This window comes from Homo sapiens, chromosome X, assembly GCF_000001405.40.
Source record: "Homo sapiens chromosome X, GRCh38.p14 Primary Assembly".
NCBI lineage: Eukaryota > Metazoa > Chordata > Mammalia > Primates > Hominidae > Homo > Homo sapiens.
This window is the reverse complement of record NC_000023.11, coordinates 31,435,299-31,460,381: the sequence shown is the minus strand read 5'-3', so window position 1 is coordinate 31,460,381 and position 25,083 is coordinate 31,435,299. Positions and strand designations below refer to the sequence as shown.

Below are 25,083 nucleotides of genomic sequence, written 5' to 3'. Positions count from 1 at the left end.
AGCTAACAGCTTCTCCAGGAGTGCCTACATTTTATAACTTACTTTGTCCACCCCTTGAGGCTCTGTGTTCAGGGGGAGGGTATATTTTTGTGTATAGAAATAGAGATGAGGTGAAATAGAGATGAAATAGAGATGATGTGGGATCAACTGGGAGAAAGTAGAAAAGAGTCTTAGCTGAAGTGGTTGAGGAAGGAGGATTTTTCCCAAAATGGTGCAAAAAACAATGTATTAAATATCTGTGAAAAAGTTCATGGTTGTGGTATAGGGTGAGTGGTATATGAAAAGAGAATTATGGGATAAACTAATGGAAACAGATGTCTTAAAATTTGCTTTTAACTTTAAACAAGAGACATGAAACTTAAACTTTTCCCTTATCCTAGAATCTGGGAGAGGAGAAGGATGAGAAAAAATGAAATTTTACATTAGAAGCAATTTGATTAATGTTCAATGGAAAATGGAAATAGCTATGGTCAAACCCACTCAAATCAAGTGTACATTAAATAATTGAGTTAACTGAATTAGGCAGAGTAAGGGCACATTGATTTTCAGTGTTGTTGAAAATTGGTCCACATATCATTGTTATGCTTTTTGTTTGTAAACCTCAATATTTATTAAGTTTCCACAGTGTGCTCAGCCCTGAAACGCCAAATTCTCTTAACCAGAATGAGGCTGGAGGATCTAACACTAAGACAGATTTCTATTTTCTTTTAAGGAATTGATTTTTATGGTAATTTTTTTTCTTCATAAAGTTAAGAACCTGCCAGTCCTGTTTCGAAACACACTTATTTTTAGAAGTTTGGTTTTCCGGGATTATGCATCATTATAGACTCAAATGACTCATTTAGAACTTTTCCCTATCAAATATTCACATTCTATCATCATGATCTTAACACGGCATAAGCAAGTTAGTGAACAGAGTGAAGTCAATTTATTGGCAATATATGCCGAAGTACAGGAATTAAGTAGAAACAAAAGTGAATGAGAGTCTTTGGCAATACATTGATGTGTTTTTTTTAGAACCAATGATAAACTACTGCTGAGTTTCCTTTCATTTACTTTTTTCCTACTCTTAAAACATTGTAACCCATTTTGAGATCTATCCATTGTTGTGAACCTAAAGCCTATTAGGTCTTATTAAATAATACCCATTTAACTGACCTGTGATTTAAGTTTCTTATCTGCCCCCAAGCAAGCAGACTGTATGCAACGGCATTTTACCTGCTTCACCTTCTGCTTGCCAGTTGGTTTTTGGTCTTCACATGTTTCTAGCAGGGATGGGGCTAAAGCAAGGGAGAGAATGGTCCATTGTTTTAGACTTTCACAAACCCAATATACTAGAATCTCCACAAAGGTTATCCAATATCAGGGTGACTTTTGTGCATCCAATAAAGCATAAGGTTAAAAGAAATACAGGCTAAACAAATGAGCATAAATTACTCCGTTGGCTTATGCTGTGAATAAAATATTACCTTTGGAACCATCTCAATTTTTTTTTTGTATAAAGGTTGAAGGAAGACATTTGCAAAGTCGTTTCTCCTATAAAACTGCCTAGGGTTTGGGGTTGATTGTTGTATGCAAGAGGGGTCTTGGTGAAATCTGACCCACTTTGAATCTAAAATTACTGAATTATTAGTGAAAAGATTATTTTAAAAAGAGTTTTGAACTCTTTTTCCTACTGAAATTGTATTCTCCTTTAGATAATCAATGCAGCATCACCCCCACAGATTTTTGAGGGCACTAAATCATACTCCTATTTTGAAAAAGAAAAAAGTCTATTACTATTAAATATATCTGTTAGTTGAATATCAATCACTTTTTCTAAAGGGTAGATTTGGCCAATGAGTGATTTTTTTTTTTTTTTTTTTTTGGAAATCACATCTGAGAACGTTGTTTAGACAGCTTGACACTTAGACTCATTTGTGTAAGTAGTAATTTATTCATCATTTGCATGTACTTAACTGGACATTATCATGATAGCAGTTGTCATAACAGACTATTACAGGATATGAATTTAGATATTACCTTAAGATGTGATCATAAAAATCAGAATAATATCTTGAAAATATCAATTTTATGGTGAGAAAAATGACAAACTGAATAAACTCTTGACTCAAGAAGCTAGACTTTTCACAACCTCATGTATTCACAGAAGTAAAAATAACAACTAATAATGTGTCCAGAGGGCCCACATTGCTCAGAAATGAATACATAAGACTTTCTTTTCAGCCTCAGAATATGATGAAAAGAAGATGAACCATTATGATGTTGCATAGATTTTAATGAAGAAAATTCGTTTTCTGTTCCTTTCGTTTGACTTTAAGTAGTTGAACATCCTGCTTTTTTATTTTGTTTGCAAGAAATAAGACCATTTTAGAAAGGCTAAAAACATTAATTACATTTAGGAACTACAATAATCTGAAAGTAAAATTGGATATTAAAGGACGTTTTTGCAATCCTTTTTAGCCCTCTTCTGTGTATTATTTTTATCACTGCTCTTAAAAATTTGTATTAATCTTTGGTTCATTTCTGCCTTAGTATTTCTAAGTTAATAATATATTGAATGAAAAATCAAATCAGTAAAAATCCATTTTGTTTCAGTAGTGAGTGCCTTCCCCCTAGAACCAAAACTAAATAAATGTGCTCCATATAAAGCAAACCAGGTACAGCATATTGCACGGGTAACTCACAATTCTAGATTCCTCTATTAATCATTATTCAGACATGCAGAGGTAGCTTAATTTGCTTTAATAAGTGAAAACAGAATCTCTTTGAGACTGCTATCTGCAATATTATACTTTGTCCTGCATTTTCTTGGTCAAAAATTGTATTTTATAGCCATGATATATTTTGGCTTGGAATTTGCTTCTTTATAAGCCTAGTTATTAATAGTCATCATTTAAATGAAATGATATCCATTAGCCTTAAGCTGCATGATTACAGAGACTTGGTCTATCTTACGCTGTATTTCCAGTGCCTAGAACATTCCCTGGCATATAATAGGTACCCAATAATAGTTTTTGGAATAAATGAATAAACAAATTTGTGCAAAAGCATAGGGCAAAATGCTATCTTTTAGATAGCGTGACCCTTAAAAATTATTTTGCAAATAATTTGCTCCATTTGCCACCAGCTTATTTCTGGCCATTGTTACTTCTTGTCTCTGCATACAAACACTCTGTGTCTCTTCTCCTTTCCACAATGACCACAAGTTATACTGATCTACTTGAGATTTTCCAGGTGACTATTTCATGTCCAGAGGAACATGCCTCTTCTAGTGTTCCCCTCTGTGAATGATTTCAGTCACCTTATCTACTCAGGAGGTCTCTCTTCCCCTCCATCAGCATCTTTCTCTGCACCTTCCAAACCCCTATGACTCAACTTCTCATAATATGGATTGCATTTTTTTTAATGACCCATTAAATTGTGTACCTCTGCTAATGATTGTGAGTGTGTTGAGACTTCCATTTTTCCAGTGGATGATAGGTATATAATATATATATATATACACACACACACACACACACACACACACACACACACACACATATATGTGGGCACAGTATCTAGTGGATATAAAGTAAGTGTTTTCAAGTGAGTAGTAATTAAATCTAAGAGTTGCCGAGAAAATGCCATTCCCGTTTTGTGGACATCTTCATTCTACATTGTAAAGGCCACCTCATTCAAGACCCACCACAATCTTGATCCCAGAAAACACCCATGATTCATCTTTTACAGCTGCCCTGTACTTCATATTTTAAGTTATTAAAGGCTATTTGCTTTTCCTCAGACACACATTAAACTTTCCTACCTCTTACCCTTTGTTCAAGTTCTGAACACATATCTTTCTTCCCCACACTATGCTTCCTCTTTATCAGTTTCATGTACCTACTTTCCAATGTCTAGTTCGAGGAGACGTTTATAAGGCTACATGATAGAGGTTGCCCCTGGGGCGATGTGAGAAATCAGCTCCAAAAAGGTAGCTACCCGGCAAAGGATCTTAGTCTGTGACTCTCTCATGGATGAACTTATTACCTACTGCTTTGCAGAGTCTCCCTGGACTAGCCTGAATAGGAACTTGTGTGACTATATGTGAACTAAAAGAAGGAGAAATATGCCTAAACTTCTCATCCATCTTTGTAACAGCCCTAAAGTATGCATGTTACTATCCCTTTTCTACACAAGTGGAAAATATTTGTAAATGAACTTCGTTACAGTCTAATATTTGATGACTTCTTAGTTCATATCATTATTTAAGTAACTTTTCTTTAGTGGAAAAGCCCAAAAATTAGGGAGGCAGGGAGAGAGAGAGAGAGAGAGAGAGGGATCATCTGTAATCTCAGCCCCAGCATCTATAATCCCAATCCCTGCAAGGGCCTCTTTGGGCAAAGAAGAAAAAGGCACTGTGTTTTTGAAGAGATCCCCGGTCCTATGCCAAGCCTAACCAATTTGGTAGTAGAGCCCAGGCTGGATTTCAGTTGGTTTGTAGTCTTCTAGTCTTTTCATATGTAAATATTTTTAATGCTTTTATTCAGTGTTGTTAAAATGCCCTCCAAAAGATGCACTAACTTGTGCCACCACCACCAAGCAGAATATATTTTCCTTGAATAGGCTACTTCCTCTTTTTTTCCCACTCACTCCATTTTTATTTTAAAAATCCCTGGTAGAGACCAAAAACTGAAATGTTATATTCTTGCCCAAAGAATGAGAGATGCTTCAGAAATTAGCAAATGCTCCAATATAAATCAAGTGATAGATATAAATAATTCAGATATGGGATAAGGAAAATGGGTAGCTTTCTCTTATTTAGGAACTCTATGTCAGGTTTCTGTGAGAAACTGTTTACGAAGCAGTCTGACAATAGCTATTGGTCTGAAGTATTAGTAATTAGTACAGAAGTGCCTAATTCTCTTGACTGCTTGTTCTTTAATAAAAATGTATTGAGGGATTATCATGTACTATGGCTTGGCATATACTGGTGAAAAACAATAATGTAGGATTGCCTTAATAAATTTTCTGGTCTTGGGAAGGAACAGACAATGAATAAATGAATAGGCAAATATATATGTACTTGCAAATTGTGATCAGGGTTCAGAAGGAAAATAGGGTGTTGAGAGTCAAGGAAAAAGGAGACACTTTACGTAGGGCAACCAACTGGGAATAGGCTATCTTTAAAAGTCACATCTAACTGAGATCAGAAGTATATGAATAAGAGCCAGCTAGGCATAAAGTGGATATATAAAACTCCAAGCAGAGGGAACAGTGTATCTGAAGGTTCTAAGTCAAGAGTAAGCTTGGGCCAGGCACGGTGGCTCATGCTTGTAATCCCAACACTTTGGGAGGCCGAAGTGGGAGGATCACTTGAGCCCAGGAGTTTGAGACCAGCCTGGAAAACATAGAGAGATCCCATCTCGCAAAAAAAAAAAAAAAAAAGAAAAAGAAAAAACTAACTTAAAAATATATATATATCAATGCCAGTGGTGTGTGCTTGTAGTCCTGGCTAACTTGGGAGGCTGAAGCAGGAGGATCGCTTGAGCCCAGGAGTTTGAGGCTGCAGTGAGCTATGATCGCACTGCTGCACTCCAGCCTGGGCGACAGAAAGAGGCCCTGTCTGAAAAATAAAATAAAAATAAATAAAGAAATAAAAAGCTTGATGAGTTCTAGGAACTCAACATTTTCTAACTTCTTATTAGAAATGCCAAATTCTCAGGCCCACCTTACACCCACTGAATCAAAAGCACTAAGTGGGACTCAGCAGTCTCTGTGTTAACAAGCCTTCCACATGACAATGAGATGCACACTATTGTGTGAGAATCACTGCCTTAGACTGATGTTTTGAGCTATTTAGGGGAGGGAGAGGGCCCATTCAGGGACAATGGTGGTTAACACATGTGGCTCAGACCAAGAAATGATTGCAAGCCCAAAAACTTGTTAAATGTAAAACTTCAGGCGCAGTGGCTCACGCCTGTAATCCCAGCACTTTGGGAGGCCGAGGCGGGTGGATCATCTGATGTCAGGAGTTCAAGACCAGCCTGGCCAACAAGGTGAAACCCAGTCTCTAGTAAAAATAGAAAAATTAGCCAGGCATGGTGGTGGTGTGCGCCTGTAATCCCAGCTACTTGGGAGGTTGAAGCAGGAGAATCGCTTGAACCCACGAGGCGGAGGTTGCAGTGAGCCCAGATCGCACCATTGCACTCCAGCCGGGGCGACAAGAGCAAAACTCTATCTCAAAAAAAAAGTAAAACTTCATCTGTCTGAAGTAACTTCTGAATTTGAAGATAAACATCCTCATGGTTGATATTTTAATGGTTTATGGATTATTACTTACTTTTAAGGAAGTTAATAGGTTTCATTAACTGCCATTTTGCTTCATTTTGTCACATATAATTAAAATTTTTCAGACAGAAAATATTGGTATTTTTTCTGTTTCCTTAGCAACCTAAAGCATGACCTGCTTAAATGACTTATTTGTGCTCATTAAAAGCCTTTTTGTGTTAATTGTGTATATTTTGTATTTAGCCTCTGTGAAACACTCATGAACTATCTTTTTATTTGTTTTAATTGTGTCATTGGAAAGCTTGAAGTATTTTGTGGTTTTTTTTTTTTTTTTTTTTTTTTTGCTTGTTTTTTGTCTATAAAGGGGAGATAACTGGCAGTTGCAGTTAGGATTATAGAAACATTTTCCCAAGGAAATTAATAAAATTTGTTCAAGTTTCTTCTTTTACAAATTGTACTTATTTTTGATTTTTTAAATAGTGGTAAAATACAAATTACATGAAGTTTACTATCTTGGCTCTATTTAAATGTATACTTCCATGGCATTACATACATTTACGTTGTTCTGCTGCCATCACCACCATCCATCTCCAGAACTCTTCTCATCTTGCAAAACTGAAACTCTATGTCTATTCAACGATAATCCCCACCAGGCATGGTGGCTCACACCTGTAATCTCAACACTTTGGGAGGCCAAGGCAGGCGGATCACCTGAGGCCAGGAGTTCGAGACCAGCCTGGCCAACATGGTAAAACCCCATCTCTACTAAAAATACAAAAATTAGCTGGGCGTGGTGGTGCACACCTGTAATCCCAGCTACTTGGGAGGCTGAGGCAGCAGAATTGCTTGAACCTGGGAGGCGGAGGTTGCAGTGAGCTGAGATCGAGATCACACCACTGCACTCCAGCCTGGGCAACAGAGCGAGACTCCATCTCAAAAGGAACAAAAAAGAAAAAACCACAGTAATTCCCCATTGCTTCCTGCCCCCAGCCCCTGGAAACCACCATTCTATTTCCTGTCTATAAATCTGAATACTCATTTCTATATCTTCTTTGGAGAAATGTCTATTCAGGTTACTTGCTCATTTTTTAGTCAGGTGATTTGTTTTCTTGCTATTGAGTTGTAGGAGTTCCTTGTGTATTTTGAATACTGACCCCTTACCGGGTGTATGGTTTGCAAAATATCAATTGCTCCTGCTATGTTCAACTTGTTCTTAAAAATAAAAACTTTTCCTTTGTGGTCAATACTTCCCTGTTCCTCATTTCCAAATTTTATACATGAAGGAAATGTGAGCACCCAGAAAAGAAAGAAGATAGACACTGTTAATATGGCCAAGATATAATTCGGCTTTTATTATAAGAACATTGGAGTTACAAGCTTCATAGAAAGCCATGTCCTAAAAGATGAAGAATTATGATCAGTGCAAAGAGAAAATGTTAAAAAGAAAAAGTTATCCTTTTATGTTTGGGTATATATTCTTTTTCGATATTGTAAAGAGAAACTAGAGTTTTTTGTTCTTGTTTTTGAGACAGAGTTTTGCTCTTGTTGCCCAGGCTGGAGTGCAATGTTGCAATCTCAGCTCACTGCAACCTCCACCTCCCGGGTTCAAGCAATTCTCCTGCCTCAGCCTCCAGAGTGGCTGGGATTACAGGTGTGCACCACCATGCCCGGCTAATTTTTCTGTTTTTAGTAGAGACAGGGTTTCACTGTGTTGGCCAGGCTCGTCTGTAACTCCTGACCTCAGGTGATCCACCCACCTCAGCCTCCCAAAGTGCTAGGATTACAGGCGTGAGCCACCGCACCTGGTTGAGATTGTTTTTTATAAAAAGATGTGGATTCTTTATGGAAAACACAGAGCAGTTAATTGCTATTTTTTTAATGTCACAAATTTGGAAGCGTGTTGAGTCTGAGAAGAAACCATAGTTAAAATATAATTACTGATAATCGCTTGGGAAATAAAAGCCCTAAATTTCTTCATGCCTACAAACTTAATATTGTTTTCCCAAGATCTTTTTTTTGACTTTAACCTTTCTTAAGTGTTTCTGATTATGCTAAATCTAGGCCATTAGTTCTGAGTCTGTTTCATTATTTATATTGTTATTCAGTTTACTCGTCAAAAGTGATCATGCCCAAATATGAAAGTTTACAAGAATTGCCCTGAAAACTGAACGGAAGGAGACAACGAAAAGAAACTGCATAATATTTTGCCTTCAGGCTATCACAATAAAAACTGTTGCTGGAAAAAAATGCAATCACATCCCTTTTTTTTTTTTAAAGTACGTTTCAATGGCATAATTTATTGTCGAGAATGTCTCTACCAGAAGCATAAGTGATACTAAAGGCAGAGGGTTGTATTCGCTCAGTCTGCAAAGTATCCCCTTTGTCTTAGCTCCACACAGTCCCTCAGAATTTGGCAGAAATGAGGGACTCAACTTTCGAGAAAGGGTGACAATCCCAGTTTTGTTGGAGAGCTATGAAATAGCCCCATAGTGTTAGTAATGAAAATTCACTTAAGAAGTCTCCTGCAGGCCCGGCACGGTGGCTCAGGCCTGTAATCCCAGCACTTTGGGAGGCCTACGTGGGTGGATCACCTGAGGTCAAGAGTTCAAGACCAGCCTGGCCAACATGGTGAAACCCCATCTCTTCTAAAAATACAAAATTAGCCAGGCGTGGTGGCGGGCACCTGTAATCCCAGCTACTCAGGAGGCTGAGGCAGGAGAATCACTTGAACCCAGGAGGTAGAAGTTGCAGTGAGCCGAGATCGTGCCATTGTACTCCAGCCTGGGCAGCAAGAGTGAAACTCCACCTTGGAAAAAAAAAAAAAAAAAGGAAAGAAAGGAAGGAAAGGAAGGAAGGAAGGAAGGAAAGAAAAAAGAGAAAGAAGTCTCTTGAAAAAAAGAAAGGAAGAAAGAAAGAAAGAAAGAAGTCTCCTGTATAAAAAAAGGAAAGAAAGAAAAGAAGGAAGGAAGGAAGAAAAGAAAAGAAAAGTCTCCTGAAAAAAAAAAAAAAACAAAATATAAGTGCTTGACAACTGAAGTTCAAGGGTAAAGGCTATTGGGAAAGCAGATGAAGTTAATCTAAGTAATGGATGCTGTTGGTGCCCCAGTCAGATTCGTTCACTGGGTTGGTGCACCCATTCCTCAGTGACTCTGAGTATTAGCTGCTAAAGCCTCATGGTTTCACCCCTTTCCAGAGAACCTCCCTCAGCCAAAAGGAAGCCACCTTGACTGGCATGTCCCACCACACCTTCTCTCTTAAAACCACCAGGGGTACAAAGGGAAAACCCCTTTGCCTCATCATGGCACCTGCTGTTGTACAATTTGTGATCTGGGAATTCCCATGGGGCCAGATTGATGCTGGTCTCCAGCCCATACCACATCCCAACTTAACTTTCTTGCCCTGTCTTCCTGCTTCTCTCACTCCCTTTTTCTTAAGAGCACTCAGACTCTGCTTCTCTTAAACCTGGCTGAAGGCAGTAGGTATCTGAAAGAAAAGCTGTACCTACATTCTGGGCATCAGAGCAGTCAGGGAACCAACCAGAATGAAAAGTCAAAAATTACAGATAATGATGGAAGTCTCTGAGCCTGATACATTTCATGAAGGGCTTGCTTACAGCTCAACTTGTGTTTCTTTTTAATTGTTTCAACAGCATTTGAGTAGCTCATTCCGCCCAGGTATTTGAGAGATTCCAGTAGGCCTCTGATCCTCTGGAAAAAGCAAGATACAGTCCTTGACTCTCTTGGCCCCATGAGGATGATATATCTGCTGAGAAATGCAGGAGCTGCAAAACATAGCTGGGCTGTACCTGCTGCCAATTCCCGGGTAATTGCATTCTGTGAGGGCTTCCCTGAACCACGAGGAAGAGCCCCGGAATAAGTACTAAACACCAGTATTTATAGGACATGATTTCTAATTGCTCATCCTTGCCTTCTCATGACTAGCTCAGCATGAAGAATGCTGGGACTTTTCTTTCCTAGCACCTCCTCTTTTTAGGCTGTTTTCCAAGAGTCTTGGTTAACAAACATTTGTTTGACAAGGATTCATGGTAGACAGCAATGCCATTAGTCCCTACTTAAGTAATATTTGTAACATAAATTTCTCTGCACGTGTATGTAGCCCAAGAATAACACTTCATTTTTGGAACCTAGTAATTTTGAATTCCTAGTAAGTGAGATAGGACGTCTATGAGTTAGCAGGTTAAGATTTTAGGAGGAATATTTAATATCCCTAAGAAGGGAAGTTTTTCAAACACTGAGTAGCACTATATATATTTATATATATATAGCCAGATTTCTATCTATCTATCTATCTATATATATATATATATATATATATATATATATATCACACCATTTATAAATAAACTCATAAGTGGCAAATCCAGTAGAGCTAATCTGAGCATCCCAGAGTCTCCCCTCTCTGTCGCTTGTTTGTGCAGCTACTCCTGCTGTGGCCTTTTATGGATTATCCTGGACTTCTACAACTGACCCCTCTACTTTCTCTCCATCTACAAGCTTCATTTTGCTTTGCTTTCCTCCTAATCCAGTTTAGATTCCACAGTATATTTTTTCAATTACATCCTGGCTAATATCGAAACTCCCTTATCCCTAAATGTGTGAGCCACAGTCATCTGACGAAACCCCAAACCTGGATCAACTGTTTTCCCCATGCTTACATGCAACACTGTTGGAGAAAATGAGAAAGTCAGGCAGATTGGTTCTGCTAAAAAATGTTGAACCTCATCCTCAAGTGGGCCCTCAACACTGTTTGCCAACCTCATTACATCTCTTAGGTCAACTCCCTCTCACAGTCTCTATTACGATTAATTCAAATGTTCCCACTTACCCTTAATTCATGTTTTCATTCAGTGACTATTCATTGCACACCAGGCACTGCACGCTATGCCAGGCACTGCAGACTATGCCAGGTCTGTTGATTCCTACTTCACAGAGGAAATAAAACCCCTCCAAGCAGAATTCCCTCAATTTACTCTTTCTAGTCTTTCCAACTGACCTTCTGTGCTTTGCAGTAGGAATGTTCTCTTAACTGTCAAGTCAAAATTCCTCCCTCAAAAATAAGATTCCCTTGTTAATAGACAATTCCTTTATTTTCTTAGAAAAGTAGTAGATGACTATAATTTTAAATGTGTATTTGAACAAATCCTTAGCTACATAAAGATAAGCAAAGATATGACAGGCAATTTAATTTTATATGAAGAAAAACTTATTATATCAGACTTACCTATCATTCTAAATCAGTACTTTTGTATCTATAATCAGACAACATTTAATGAACTGAAAATTCTGCCTGTGAGAAACTAGTCATAATAAAATTAGACTTGGTTTGCTCTTTCATGGAGAACATATTCCAGATGTTTAAGTGATTCAAAGAAAACCCACAATATAATGGCTTTCTTCAATGTTTTCTCACTTACTGCTTCCAAACTAGAAAAAAAACCTAATGCAATCCTGATATCACTTAAATAGCACCTCGTATTGCTCAGCGTTAACTGTGCTTTTTGACATTTTAGGTGTAGTGTTTAATAATTTAAACACAAATTTATGTGTGTCATATTAAAAGCTCTAATCTGTGAAATATAGCCAAACCAATGTCACATCTATTTAAATAGCAAAGTACCTGTGTTCACCCTTTACAGGGTGAAGGTCTTGTGACTCTGTGTTTAGGCGGCCATACTTCTTGTTATGTATGCTGCTGGGCACTGAGAGCCCACAGTGGTGAGCCATCCTTGGGTGGTAAAAGCTGCTACCAAAACCTAAATCAAATGCCAAAGTGAAGACTGACATGAGCATTCTCCTGCCTCCTTTTCCTTTTTATCTTTCCTACCATCTGTTATCTCCTTTCTTCCACCTTCATGCGTTGAGTGCCCTCATGATGATTTCTAGCTGACTGAAGTCCTTTAGTCTGCTCAACCCCATCTAGAGACTTCCCCAAAGTGAACCTTTGCCCCCAGTTATCTGTTTATCAACTGACCTCACACCAGTCAAAGCTTCCATTGTCAAATATTTTAACAGAAATTTAGGAATTCAGATTAAACTGAATATTTGGCATTTTTTCTTTTTTTTTTTTTTTTTTTTTTGGAGACAGAGTCTTGCTGGGTCACCCAGGCTGGAGTGAGTGCAGTGGTGCCATCTTGGCTCACTGCAACCTCCACCTCCCAGGTTCAAGCGCTTCTCATGCCTCAGCCCCCTGAGTAGCTGGTACTACAGGCATGTGCCACCACGCCCGAATAATTTTTGTATCTTTAGTAGAGACAGGGTTTCACCATGTTGGCCAGTCTGGTCTCGAACTGCTGACCTCAAGTGATCCACCCATCCACCCACCTCAGCCTCCCAAAGTGCTGGGATTACAGTCTTGAGCCACCCCACCTGGTCTGGGTTGTTTTCTTCATCTTTAGCAGTTGTCTTGTTCACAACTACTTCAACAATATTTATTTTCTTTTTCTTTTTGAAGCAACTCTCCAGAGTATTTGGCCTGGTTTTTATAGAAATAATAACTTTTTTCTTTTCTTTTTAAACTAATATTTTTATGATTTAGGAAATCTTTCTTTATTAAATTACATAATCACAACAGTTACTGGCAAAGATAGGTTTGAGAACATACACACAACTGACGGTTGTAACAAGTCAACTGATGGGAGCAGAAGGTCCACACATACTGACAGGCACCTCGAACATTTTATTGAGGCTGTGAGAGGTTCCCATCACTGCTGTTTCACAAAGAGAATGAAGACTTTGGCTAATTTGGTGAGTCTTAAGTGGAGATTAGTTCAGAGAACTTCCACTATCATTGCTTGAAAGAAGCAAAAAAAAAAAAAAAAAAAAAAAAAATCCCAAGATCTTATGGTAAAGTTTAAAGAAGAAAAGTAAATTTTAAAAAGAAAAAAAAAGAGGAAAAGGGAGAGCATTGCAATTAATTATGAGTACCAAAACTTATTTTTGAATCCCCTTCATCCTCCAAAACATTGAAGCAGGATTAATATGTGTGCTCAGGAATTTGGGAGAGAAAATGAAAATCAAAATATTCTAATAAGAGACATTTGAAAATGTACATTGTGTCACCTAAAGGGAACTGAAATCTAGCTATGGCTTAACGAGGTAGGATAATCAACTTAATGGCTTGAGAGTCTTGCTTGTAAAGAGAGATGATTAGCACAAAGGACTCACCTGTATCACTGAAAGATGCTGCCTGCTGGCTTGCCCTCTCTGCAGAGGTTCCTGTTTACAGTTTCCCCTCACATGATATTTATTTGTGGCTACTAGAAATGCACGTTATTATCCAGAAGAGAATGATTTCATTTTGTAACCGTTGTCCTTGTCCAAGTTTCCCCCATTGACATTTAAGAAATCTGTTTTCTAACCTTTCTATTATGCAAAACAAAATTAATATGGATCATTTCCTTTTAGAGATAAGTATTCATATATATGGATTTAAACCACCTTTCTCCATGGGCCCTTATTCTGATACTTTTAATCCATGTATTTATTCATAAGGAAATGGAACAATATTTACTATCCACCCCTATAAAACTTTCTGAATTTCACACTGATTCCAGTGACATTCCACTAACACGAAGTTGAATACAGATGAATACATCACATATGATTTTTTTTTTGCATGTGTATGGTCAGAAGGGGCTCTCTTTTGTTTGTTTTTATTAATATATAATTCACATACTTTAAAATTCACTCTTTCAAAGTGTACAATTCAGTGGTGTTTAGTATATTCACAAGATTGTGCCACCATCACCATTGTTTAATACCAGAACATTTTCGTTATCGTCCAAAAGAAACCCCCTGATTGCTTAACGTAATGTTTTTAATGACCACTTTTTAAAACTTTAAGTTCAACAGAGTGATTATCACAATGTTTTGTATTATCTAAGAACTACACAACAGTGTTATGCTCTATACAGCACCACGGTTTACTGATGAAGTATTCAGGTTGATTTGAGAGGATAATGTCGTTCTTATTTTGAATGTTCATACTGGCTCCTTTTATTTGGAGTGGGAGGAAATGCAAGGCTTATAAATGAGGTCAGTGTAACCAATGGTTTTATCAACATAGTGAACCAGACAGAGAAATAACACCTGCCCAGATCAAGCAAGTCAAAACAACACGTATAGTCAAGTGGTGCTGTCCTTGTACACAGACATTACATTACACAAACTGTTCTCCTAAGTGAGGGAATTTGTCCCTTAGAAATTGCTTATTGGAACATTTGGACATCATGCATCATGTTAAAGATCCATAAATGCCATCTCGATAGGGTAGATATGAGGCGTGGTAATATCCTCCCCATATCTGCATAGGGTTCTTCTGCTCAACGGATTGCTATGATGTATTGCATCAGAGACTCCTGCTCTAGTGCTTCAAAGACAGCTGAGAAGCCCCACGGGAGCCTTCTGAAGTCATTGCTACAAGGGCTAAAATACCAGGAGATCAGGAAGTCATTCTGAGGACTTGACAAAATACCCTACTCCCTAAATGAAACTGTTATGATGTGGTTGGTGCAAAGTATGCATGCAATATTTTATGACTGAATATATCTTTCTATTGTAAAAAATAAGGATCCATTTCTGGTTGTGACATGAGTAGAATTTAGAATCCAGCAGCAATATATTTTTCTTGTTACTTTGCCAATCCAGAATTTCTTAGGGGAAGCATATAACATAATAGTTAAGAATATATATTCTAGAGGCAGGCAAACCTGCATATAGGTATCCCAGGTTCCTCAATTTTTACCCATGAGAGCTTGGCAAGGTTTGTTTGTTTTGAAAACAAACCTCTGCAAGTTTGTTTTCTCATGTATAAAATTAGAATTCTCCAACTACTGGCCTCATAGGATTGTTGGGTAGAAATAAAATCAGTTTATGTATGAATAGAGCTCATCATGGCATTAGGCACCTAGGAAGTGCTCAACAAATAGTAGTTATCATTATTCCCCCATTAACAAATATCCATTGTTATAATACTACCACAAGAGACTGTCTTAGTCTGTTCCAGCTGCTATAATAGAAATGCCATAAATTGGATAGCTTGTGAAACAACAAAAACTTATTTCTCACTGTTCTGGAGGTTGAGAAGTCCAAGATCAAAATACCAGCAGATTTGGTGTCTGGGGAAGGCCCATTCCTCATACAAAGCACCTTCTCACTGCACCCTCACATGCTGAAAGGAGCTAGCTAGCTCTCTGAGGTCTCTTTTATAAGGGCGCTAATCCCAAAAATCACCTCCCTAAAGGCCCCATCTCCTAATACCATTGCCTTAGGTGTTTTGATTTCGTTTCCTTTTTATTTTTTAGGATTTCAACATAGGAATTTGAGGGGGGACACAAACATTCAAACCGTAGCATAGAGCAAACATTACTGGCACTGCACCCTAAAGAGAATAAGCCCAGGTATCAGTTCTTCTTGTTTTAAATATTCTCATCTTCCAATTTGCTTTTGACTATTGCACACAGGCACTTCGAGGAGAAATTGCGCCTCTGAAAGAGAACGTGAGCCACGTCAATGACCTTGCTCGCCAGCTTACCACTTTGGGCATTCAGCTCTCACCGTATAACCTCAGCACTCTGGAAGACCTGAACACCAGATGGAAGCTTCTGCAGGTAAGCACATTGTAAACATTGTTGTCCTTTGTTACAGTAAAATAATATACAGATAAAATTTGTAAAGAACAATGAAAGTACTTTTTTCATGTAATGTTCATGGTAATATTTGTGAGGATAGGATATTTTATATTAGTTTATAATTCCCATCTAAACATTTTCAAATTATTAATATTAATTTTGGAAGCAACTAAGACTTAGTATATGTCTTAGTCTGTTTAGTGTTGCTATAAAAGAATACTTGGGGCTGGGTAATTCATAAAGAACAGGTGTTTATTTGGCTCAGTTCTGCAGGCTGTACAAGAAGCATCTGCTTCTGGCGAGGGCGTCAGGCTGCTTCCACTCATGGCAGAAGGCAAAGGGGAGCTGGTGTACAAAGATCACACGGCAAGAGAGGAGGAGAAAAAGAGGGAGGGGAGGTGCCAGTTCTCATGAAAACTGCTAGAGCAAAACCTCGCTCACTACCGTGAGAATGGCACCAAACCATTCATGAGGGATTCACTCCTACAACCCAGACACCTTCCACTAGGCCTCACCACCAACACGGGGGATCAGATTTCAACACGCGAGTTAGAGGGAACATCCAAACTCTGTGTAGCAGTATTCTTACGATAAACAGAAAATAATGCTGAATCATGATGGAAGATGTGAATTGCCACCATGCAGTTCCTTTGTACTCTTACTGCTTGGATTCTCAAAAACATCTTTCCCTTTAGAATCCTAATTTAAACAAGAGTCAATAGTAAGATGTGTCCAAAAGTCATTTAAAGAAAGAGCATCCTATCACAAACTTACATGTGGAAGTTTTTCGTAGGTTTGCGTAATAAATACAGGCAATGTAAGTGTGCTGCTCAAGGTCACACTTACTAGCCATGGGACCTGGAGCAAATTACTTAACCTTTCTGAGCCTCAGTCTTTCATCAAAAAAAAAAAAATGCGATAATAAAATTCTCTGCAATATCAGTTTATTATTAGGATGAATAAGTCAAAATAAATGGAAAGTGCTCGGGAGCGAACATGCCAAATGATAAACACTCTACAAATTCTAGCTCTTGATGTTGTTATTATTATTATTATTACAGTACACAGGTTTTGGAATCCAACATATTAGCTGAGTGACCTTGAGGCCACTTAATCTCTGTGGTTGTCCATTTACTCATCTCTAACATGGTTACTGTAACATCGAATGAGTTAATTCATGCAGAGTAATGGTTGTAGTGGTGGAAGAGGTGCGTCTACCTTCTCAGTGTGAAGGACACCATGTTATACCCCAAAACCCTAAAATTAGTTTAACCGTAGAATTAGAGAATCATTTTCTCTCCTTTCCAATTTTCTCCTTTCCAACAGGATGCAGAAGGTATGCCTCTGAGGAAACTGGGTTTAAAACTATTTGGTTTTAACTTTTTAATAAGAAAAATATAATAAACCAAATCACTTTCCTATTGTCAGTCCATTTAGGGGTGTGATTGAGAGGCCTGTTAAAGAATTGCTAGATCTTTAATAAAGATAAGTTGCAAATCCCAGACCTCTTGAGATCTCACATAATTTAATTCTTGTTGTGATGGATAGTCCTGAAAGATTTGTATTCTAGATTGTTATAAGTGGCATCGACTAAAGCAAGGCGATATAGCTAAGTGATTATATGCCTTTCTCTGTTTGCTCCATAGTAGTTGAGTACTATTAAAATTTTATCTGTTCCATCCTTAGTATGTTTTTCATCTTAAGTATAAATAAGGAAAGTAATAAATGTCCAAAGAAAACCAATGGCCACATTAGTCCCATATAAGTGTTCTAGAAGTATATTTTATAATTTCTTTTAGAGAGCAGAATGCCACGTTTGCTTTCAGAACGTGGTAAAAGATTTGTGACAGTGGCAGGTAGATTTCCAAATGAGGTCAAAGGATTATGACTAGTAAGAAAAGTTTTTTTTTTTTTAATCAATGCTAAGTGATCCATTCTAGTTGCACTATTTATTTGCATTTAAGGTATCAAAAACAGTAAATAGCTTACTATGTAGCCATTCTTTACAATGAGTAAAAACTTGGTTATAAGTACAGGAAAACACATGTAAGGAGATAGTATGATATAGCGAAAAGAGCATTGGATTGACTATTAGGAGGTCTAACTTCAAACTTAAGCTCAGCCATTATTTGACCGTGTTATTGTGAGAAAGCCATTTAACCTCTCTCAGCTTTAATTCTCCTCATTTTTAAAATGCAGAAATCTATTTTGTCTAAGGTCACATACAGTTCAATCTTATGATTCTGTCTCTAGATATCTGGGGGAGATACACATTTGACAGAATTTAGTTTAAAACCAATGAAGTTCCTTTCTTTATTCATAATACAAATGTGGTTTGTTGAAATTATATTTCTCCTTGTATAACTCTAACTTTTAATCTCTTCTTCCCTAAACCCACATATACACAGCCTTCTCCTATTAAACAGTTCAGTTTGTGGTGTCTGCTCTATATTGTAGCAAATTTCATGTTTCTATTTTTGAACATGACCTTAAAGATATGCTTAAAAAGTGTTTTTAGCAGAAAGCTGATAAATCCAAGGTTTTGGTTTGCATATAACCGAGTCAAGTTAGTTCCATTCTTTTCTTTGATAGTAATTCTGCTACATTATAAATGTGAGGCCTTGTTCAGAAAGAGAAGAAAGCAAGAAATGAGGTTCACATCAAGCAATTTTTTTCCCATTACTGGAAAAGCAATTCATACATCCTGTTGAGAATATTTTATATTTAGAACAATGTATGTGAGGCTAACGCATTATCCAAGTTCTATGGCGGGAAGCTTGAGCCCACCACCATTATGACATCATATTTTTTTAAATAGTAAATGTCAAAAAAGACATATTTCTATGAAAATAAAGAATTTAGTCACAATGCTATGTCAATCTTTAAATCGTGATAAAAACCAAGTACAAGTTCATCTTTGCCTCTGTCCACTAAGACAAAGAACAATCAAAAAGTAAAGAACTCTCTGGGCATGGTGGCTCACGCCTGTAATCCCAGCACTTTGGGAGGCCGAGGCAGGCGGATCACTTGAGGTCAGGAGTTTGACACCAGCCTGACCAGCATGGTGAAACCTCATCTCTACTAAAAATACAAAACTTACCTGGGTGTGGTGGTGCGTGCCTGTAATCCTAGCTACTCTGGAGGCTGAGGCAGGAGAATTGCTTGAAACCAGGAGGCAGAGGTTGCAGTGAGCTGAGATCGTGCCACTGCACTCCAGCCTGGGCGACAGAGCCAGACTCGGTCTCAAAAATAAAATAAAATAAAATAAAAATAGAGAACTGGAGTAGTAGAAAGGCAGATGTAAACCTGAGAAAAGAAGAAGAGTCTTAAATTTGGGCAAAATAGTATAATAGAAAGATTAGAGTTACATACTATCAGGCCGTGTCTACTTGATATCAGAATATCCTGGGTTCTTTGCATTATCCATTCATTTAATTTTCAAGGAAAGCCATGCTAGTTTTTTAGCTGTCTGTAATATCAGTCAAAATGGTGAAACCAGTTAAGGGATGTGAGCACCAACAATACAGTCAAACCCAGTCACAATTTACCTATGTATAGAATCATAATGTATAGAGAATTCCAAACTGACTTTGAATCTTCTAATAGAAATGTAAGAGACATTGGTTTGCCTGTTTGAAATTTTCTGTGGGAATGAAGTCCTATTTTCTTCCTCAAAGTAGACACATTGGTATGCATGTTACTATTTGACCATTTGACTTTTTGTGGTGTAGGAAACCATCACTCCTTGCAGTTAGAAAAAGTCCTCATGTGCATTCTCTCATCTAAGAATCACAACCTTGTGATTTTGTATTATGATTATGATTACCTATTATCATTATTCCCTTTTACGTGTAAGGAAACCGAGGCTTAGAAACATGAAGTACCACAGTCACAGTCACATAACTTGTATCAGTCAAGATCTGAGTCAGGTTTTTCGAACTGCTATTCCCATGCTCTTTTTGTCTCCTCTTCTCAAAATCCTATTACGTTTGGACTTAACAAAGCAATAATGGCTGGGTGTGGTGGCTCACGCCTGTAATCCCAGTACTTTGGGAGGGTGAGGCGGGTGGATCACTTGAGATCAGGAGTTCAAGACCGGCCTGGCCAACACATAGTGAAACCCCATCACTACTAAAAATACAAAAATTAGCTGGGTGTGGTGGCGCACGCTTGTAGATCAGCTACTTGGGAAGCTGAGGCAGGAGAATCGCTTGAACCCGGGAGGCGGATGTTGCAGTAAGCTGAGATCATGCCACTGCACTCCAGCCTGGGCAACAGAGCAAGACACCATTTCCAAAAAAAAAAAAAAAAAGCAATACTTTAAAACTATTTTGGACAATACAGGTGTAAAATACTTCACTTTTTTACATGTATCTTCTTTTTTGAAATGATTCTTAGGTATATTAACTTTTAAATCTTCCTTTTATAAACCAATGGATTAATGAACCCAGTTCAGTGTACCCCTTAGAAATCACACTTGTTTCAAATATAAAATTTTAAAGCATTATATTCCTCATTGCCTTTAGAACTCAGCAATTGTACTAAAATCAGCCAAAAGTGATTTCAGTGAATCAGCTCTTAAAGCCAAACTAATGCTAATATTTGACCAAGTAGAAACGAATATCTAAACCAGGTGAGAAAAAAGTTAAAATGATGATAAACCTTTCTAATTTTGAAATAGTACACACACTGAGTAATGCAGTCAATCTCTTTATTCACCAAGCGCAAGTAGTATATAAAGGAATATTATACCATTTTTCTTTACTCATGAGTAAACCCACAAATAGCACAAAAGCTGCAAAAACACTTTAACATAAGGAGTATTTGTTTTATTGACTGTAGGAACTCATGGAATGCAAACACCTTTAAAATCTGAATAATATGAAGGCATTTCCAGCTATTAGATTCTTTACATATGTCAAAGAACAGTATCATAAATTATGTATGTTTTTTAAAGGTTTCCTAAGCTTCTTCCAAAGTCATGTAGACATCATTACACTCCATCTGTATACCTCTGTGGTAACTTGCTGTCGCAGGGATCTAGAGCCTCATCTTTTGCAAACTTCATTCCTTCTTTCATCCCTTTGTTCTTTCATTCAGTCAGCACTGATTGAGCATCTACTGTGTACCTAGAAGACATTGTAATGATCCTGTTTGGTCCAAGGACATACTAAACAAAACTCCCTTTACTGCTTATGCTATATTAAGTAAAGCTTTAAAGATGGGTTCTCTTTTATTACTTCCATGATGGCCCACCCCTCTCATCCTTTCTCAGTGTTAAAAACCAGAAATATACATACTTACATACTATCATAACACTGATACTACAAAAGCAGTACCCATTATTATCTCTGGTTTACAAATTATTCAATAATTTCTTACTGGAAACTTGGTCTATATAGTCATAGTAGTAAGCTTTGTGAGAGGATGTGATGGGATCATAGTTAGCTAAACAATAGGAGTATTTGTGTGGCTTCATTTTAAAAAAACTAACCAGTTTTTTTCCAACAAGCAATTCTTATATCAGAACCATTTATATTCTTTACTTTGGTGAGATAGGATTTTCTAAGCAGGTCTTTTATCTGTATCTATGTATGTTTGTTCTTACCATCATTGAGCACAGGATTTGATCCTTTAAATGTGTTGACAGATTTTGAACATTTTCCTCATATCTTTCTTTTTTGTTTTTTAATGATCCTGTACTAATCATTTTGCATTATGGGGTCACTTCTGGACAGAGAGCCTAGCCATCTGCTCTTACAAATAATGTCGGCCTATCACTAACTGGGGATAAGGAGAAGACATCTACCGATGTCTTTCTAGCATGTCCTTCTTGACTTTTTCTTTCTTTAAGAAGACTAAAATGATTCAGCTTGTGGTTCTACCACAGAACTCAGGAGAAAATGATAAATATGAGGCCATTCTCCAAATAAATATGTTTTCCTACATTAGTGGTTCTCAAATTTTAACAAGCATCAAATTCACCTGGAAGGCTTATTAAAACACAGATAACTGGGCTCCACATACCAAGTTTCAAATGATTCAGTGGGTCTGGTGTGGAGCTTGAGAATCTGCATCTCTAACAAACTTTCAAGTGAGGCTAATGCTGCTGAATCATGGACCACACTTTGATAACCCCTGTTCTATGTTAAGTACTTGTCAGGTACAGACAAATTTAAAAGTTAAAAAAATATATATATGACTTCTGTAAGACACTGTGAAGGGTTTAGACTCTGGGGAAATTAAGTATAATGCCATCCCAAAAACTCTGTGTTGGAGGAGTGTTCAAGTGCTGCAGGATCATGGAGAACCAAGCACTTAACTTTTCTATGAGGCAGAAAGAGGAAGATAAAGGGAAACGTGGAGGATGAAGGGAAACTGTTAATAGATCCCCAGAAACACAATTTGCTGCTATATGGATTTATATTTACTGTATTTCAAATCACATGGTCTAGAACTGTGCTGTCCAATATGATAGCTACATATGGCCATTGAGCCCTTCAATGTAGCCAGTCGAAAGTGAGATGTGTAGTAAGCGTAATATATACACATGTAATATGTATATGTTATATATATGATATAGATGTAATATGTATGTTATATATATGATATATATGTAATATGTATATGTTATATATATATATATATATCAGGATGCAAAGACTTAGTACCAAAAAAAGAATGTAAAATATCTCATTATTTTTATATTGATTACATGTTGAAATGATAGTATTTTTATGTATTTGCTTGGGTAAAATGTCATAATGAATTTCACTCATTTATTATGATTATTCAAACTTGGTTATTTTTCTTGAAAATGAATGAAGTGAGCCTGTTGCTTCGGCTACAACAATGGGCAGTGTTTCTGCAAAATTTTTACATGTGCCTACTAGAACATTTAAAATTGTACATGTAGCACTCATTATATTTCTGTTGGATAGCATTGGCCTAAAAGTTTTCAAAATCTAGCATGGATAAGAATCACCTGCAAAGCTTGTTAAACCAATCCGCCCCCAGAAATTTAGTATCGGGTGAGGCCTGCAATTCTGCATTTCTATCATGCTCCCAGGAGATGCTGTCTATTTGTAACCACATATAGAAATTCATTCCCAAACTACAGATGATAGAGTTTTACAGAGAGGTGCAAAAATATATTTTTGCATCAAGCATTGTCTGTAGCTTGAATACAAAATTATGTTGCCCATATACCACTGGTTTTTGTAAGTAAAGCAGTTGTGTTACAAAGCATACAAGTTTTTATCAGCTAATAGCCTTTTCTCAATTAGCAGATACTAAGTAGTACTTTTATTATGTGGCAATTCTCCAGTTTTTGGAATGTTATTGAGAAATACACAGGGTTAAAACAAATTAGAAAGCACCTCTCCCAAAATACTGCAGTAAGATGTAGGAAAAACTGCTCTAACATATTCTAAACTATAGGTTGCTCTTATGTAAATATTTCAACTATAATATCTAGTCTGATGTGCCCACTGGCCAGAGTTTTGTAAAAGCTAAAAGTAAAGGAAATAAAAAAAAGAAAGAAGTATGTGTTTGTTTTTGAAAAGGTTAGGTCACAGAAGGATTTGTTGATATTAGGAATAGAATGACCCGTGAAAAAAGGACAATTAAGTTCCAGGAAAACATCTTTTCAGTAAGGAGAGAATAATCATTTATGCTTAACCTCAACTCTGTTAGGAAAAAAAGGATGTAAACAAAACCCTTTAAAGAATTGAAGAAGGAGAGTATAAATTTAAATGCCCAGGTTAGTGACCACCCTTAGAGCATACTGAGGTCAAAGCGTACTGTCAAGCTTAAGAACATTTGGTTTTCAATGTTTGTACAACTAATTGTACTTTAGTCAAGAGGACTGTTATCGAAATTGCTCAGGTAGCCTTGAAACTAATATGGCCCAAATATTCCAGAGTCTGTCTTTCTCACCCTAGGAGAAGAATGGTCTGGTTTTCAAGGGAATTCTCTATTTTTTTTTTTTGAAGGCATCAGGATGTGTGAAACTACAGGGGGATAAATGAACGATGTACAGAATGTGATGAAAAAATTATATGAAGTATAAAATGGGAATGAAGCCATCAGGAGCCAAAGAAATATTTATGAATTTAAGAGAATGAAAAGCATATTATTATTTTCAGATATTTTATAAAGTGAACCCAAATCATTATAAAGTATTAATTAGGCTACTTGATTGCTTGATCTTTATATACTAATTTCTAATTTGTTTTAATCGGGAACTATTTTTGCTAGTTCTAAGGCTAGCTATTATGGTAATCCATGTAAGTGTGTTTATTATTGTTTTTAAAAATGGAATGTGTTCCTAGTAAATGTGTTTAAATAGCAAAATGTATTTATGCATGCATGTATTTATTTTAGTTTCCTGAGACCTCTAGTTCCTTACTAGAAACATGTATATAATTCCAGGCATTTAAAATTGCCATGATGGTCATGTTTTCTTGTCCTTTTCCCTTATTCTGCAACTGACATTTGCCCTTGTCTCCAATTTCTCACTGCTTTATTCTTTGTTCTTGTAAGTGTTCTTGTCTCTCTGGGCTGACCTCTCTCCTTCCCTGGAGTTTGACCCCGCCCCACCCTTTCTTCTGCATTTGTTTGCACTGGTTGTTTTCTTCATTGCCTTTCCCACTGCCCCGCTGCGCTGCATGTGAAACACTCCGCCAGTAGCTGCTCACAGTTCCCATGCTACATCATACCCAGCATTCAAAGAGCTGCTGTTCTCACATGGCCGCCAGTAAGATTCCCGACTCCTCCTTCACAGCACATTCCTCTAGAAAGTAGAAAGAATCCCCTTTCAGGCCACATGAGAAGCTGCGTGTTAAAGCCAACTCCATAAAGGGGAATGGAAACTAGCGTATGAAATTCAGAAATGCTACTTTTAAAGGTAAATACCACAAAGTGAATTTCAAATTCATACAGTTTATCATAATACTTCTTTATTTTTATAAATGCTATAATGTCCTTAATATAATGATCACTGTGATATAAGTTGTCCTCTCCCTTAATATATTAATTAATTTACTAAAGGAGACGGGAGGGTGGAAATATAATAAATTAGAAGATGATTCTTATATCAGAAGTACAGCCTTTATACATAGTTTTACTTTATTCAGACAATCAATGTAGTCATATGGTAT

General features: G+C 37.1%; 1 protein-coding gene across 21 annotated transcripts in view, besides 1 other annotated feature; it reads left to right on the top strand.

Moving 5' to 3' along the window:
• The window catches only part of DMD (dystrophin), a 2,220,167-nt gene that overhangs the window by 1,879,007 nt on the left and 316,077 nt on the right, over positions 1-25,083 (top strand). For all 21 annotated transcript variants that reach the window (XM_006724469.4, NM_000109.4, XM_011545467.2 and 18 more), the window contains 1 exon segment: positions 15,755-15,901. In XM_006724469.4, the coding sequence (XP_006724532.1) occupies positions 15,755-15,901 (147 nt within the window).
• Positions 24,307-24,817: an enhancer, noted in NCBI's record as "NANOG hESC enhancer chrX:31453682-31454192 (GRCh37/hg19 assembly coordinates)". NCBI's record gives its function as "activates a minimal SCP1, AML or CMV promoter by ChIP-STARR-seq in naive H9 embryonic stem cells {active_cell/tissue: H9 hESC(naive)}" and the evidence as "EXISTENCE:reporter gene assay evidence [ECO:0000049][PMID:30033119]".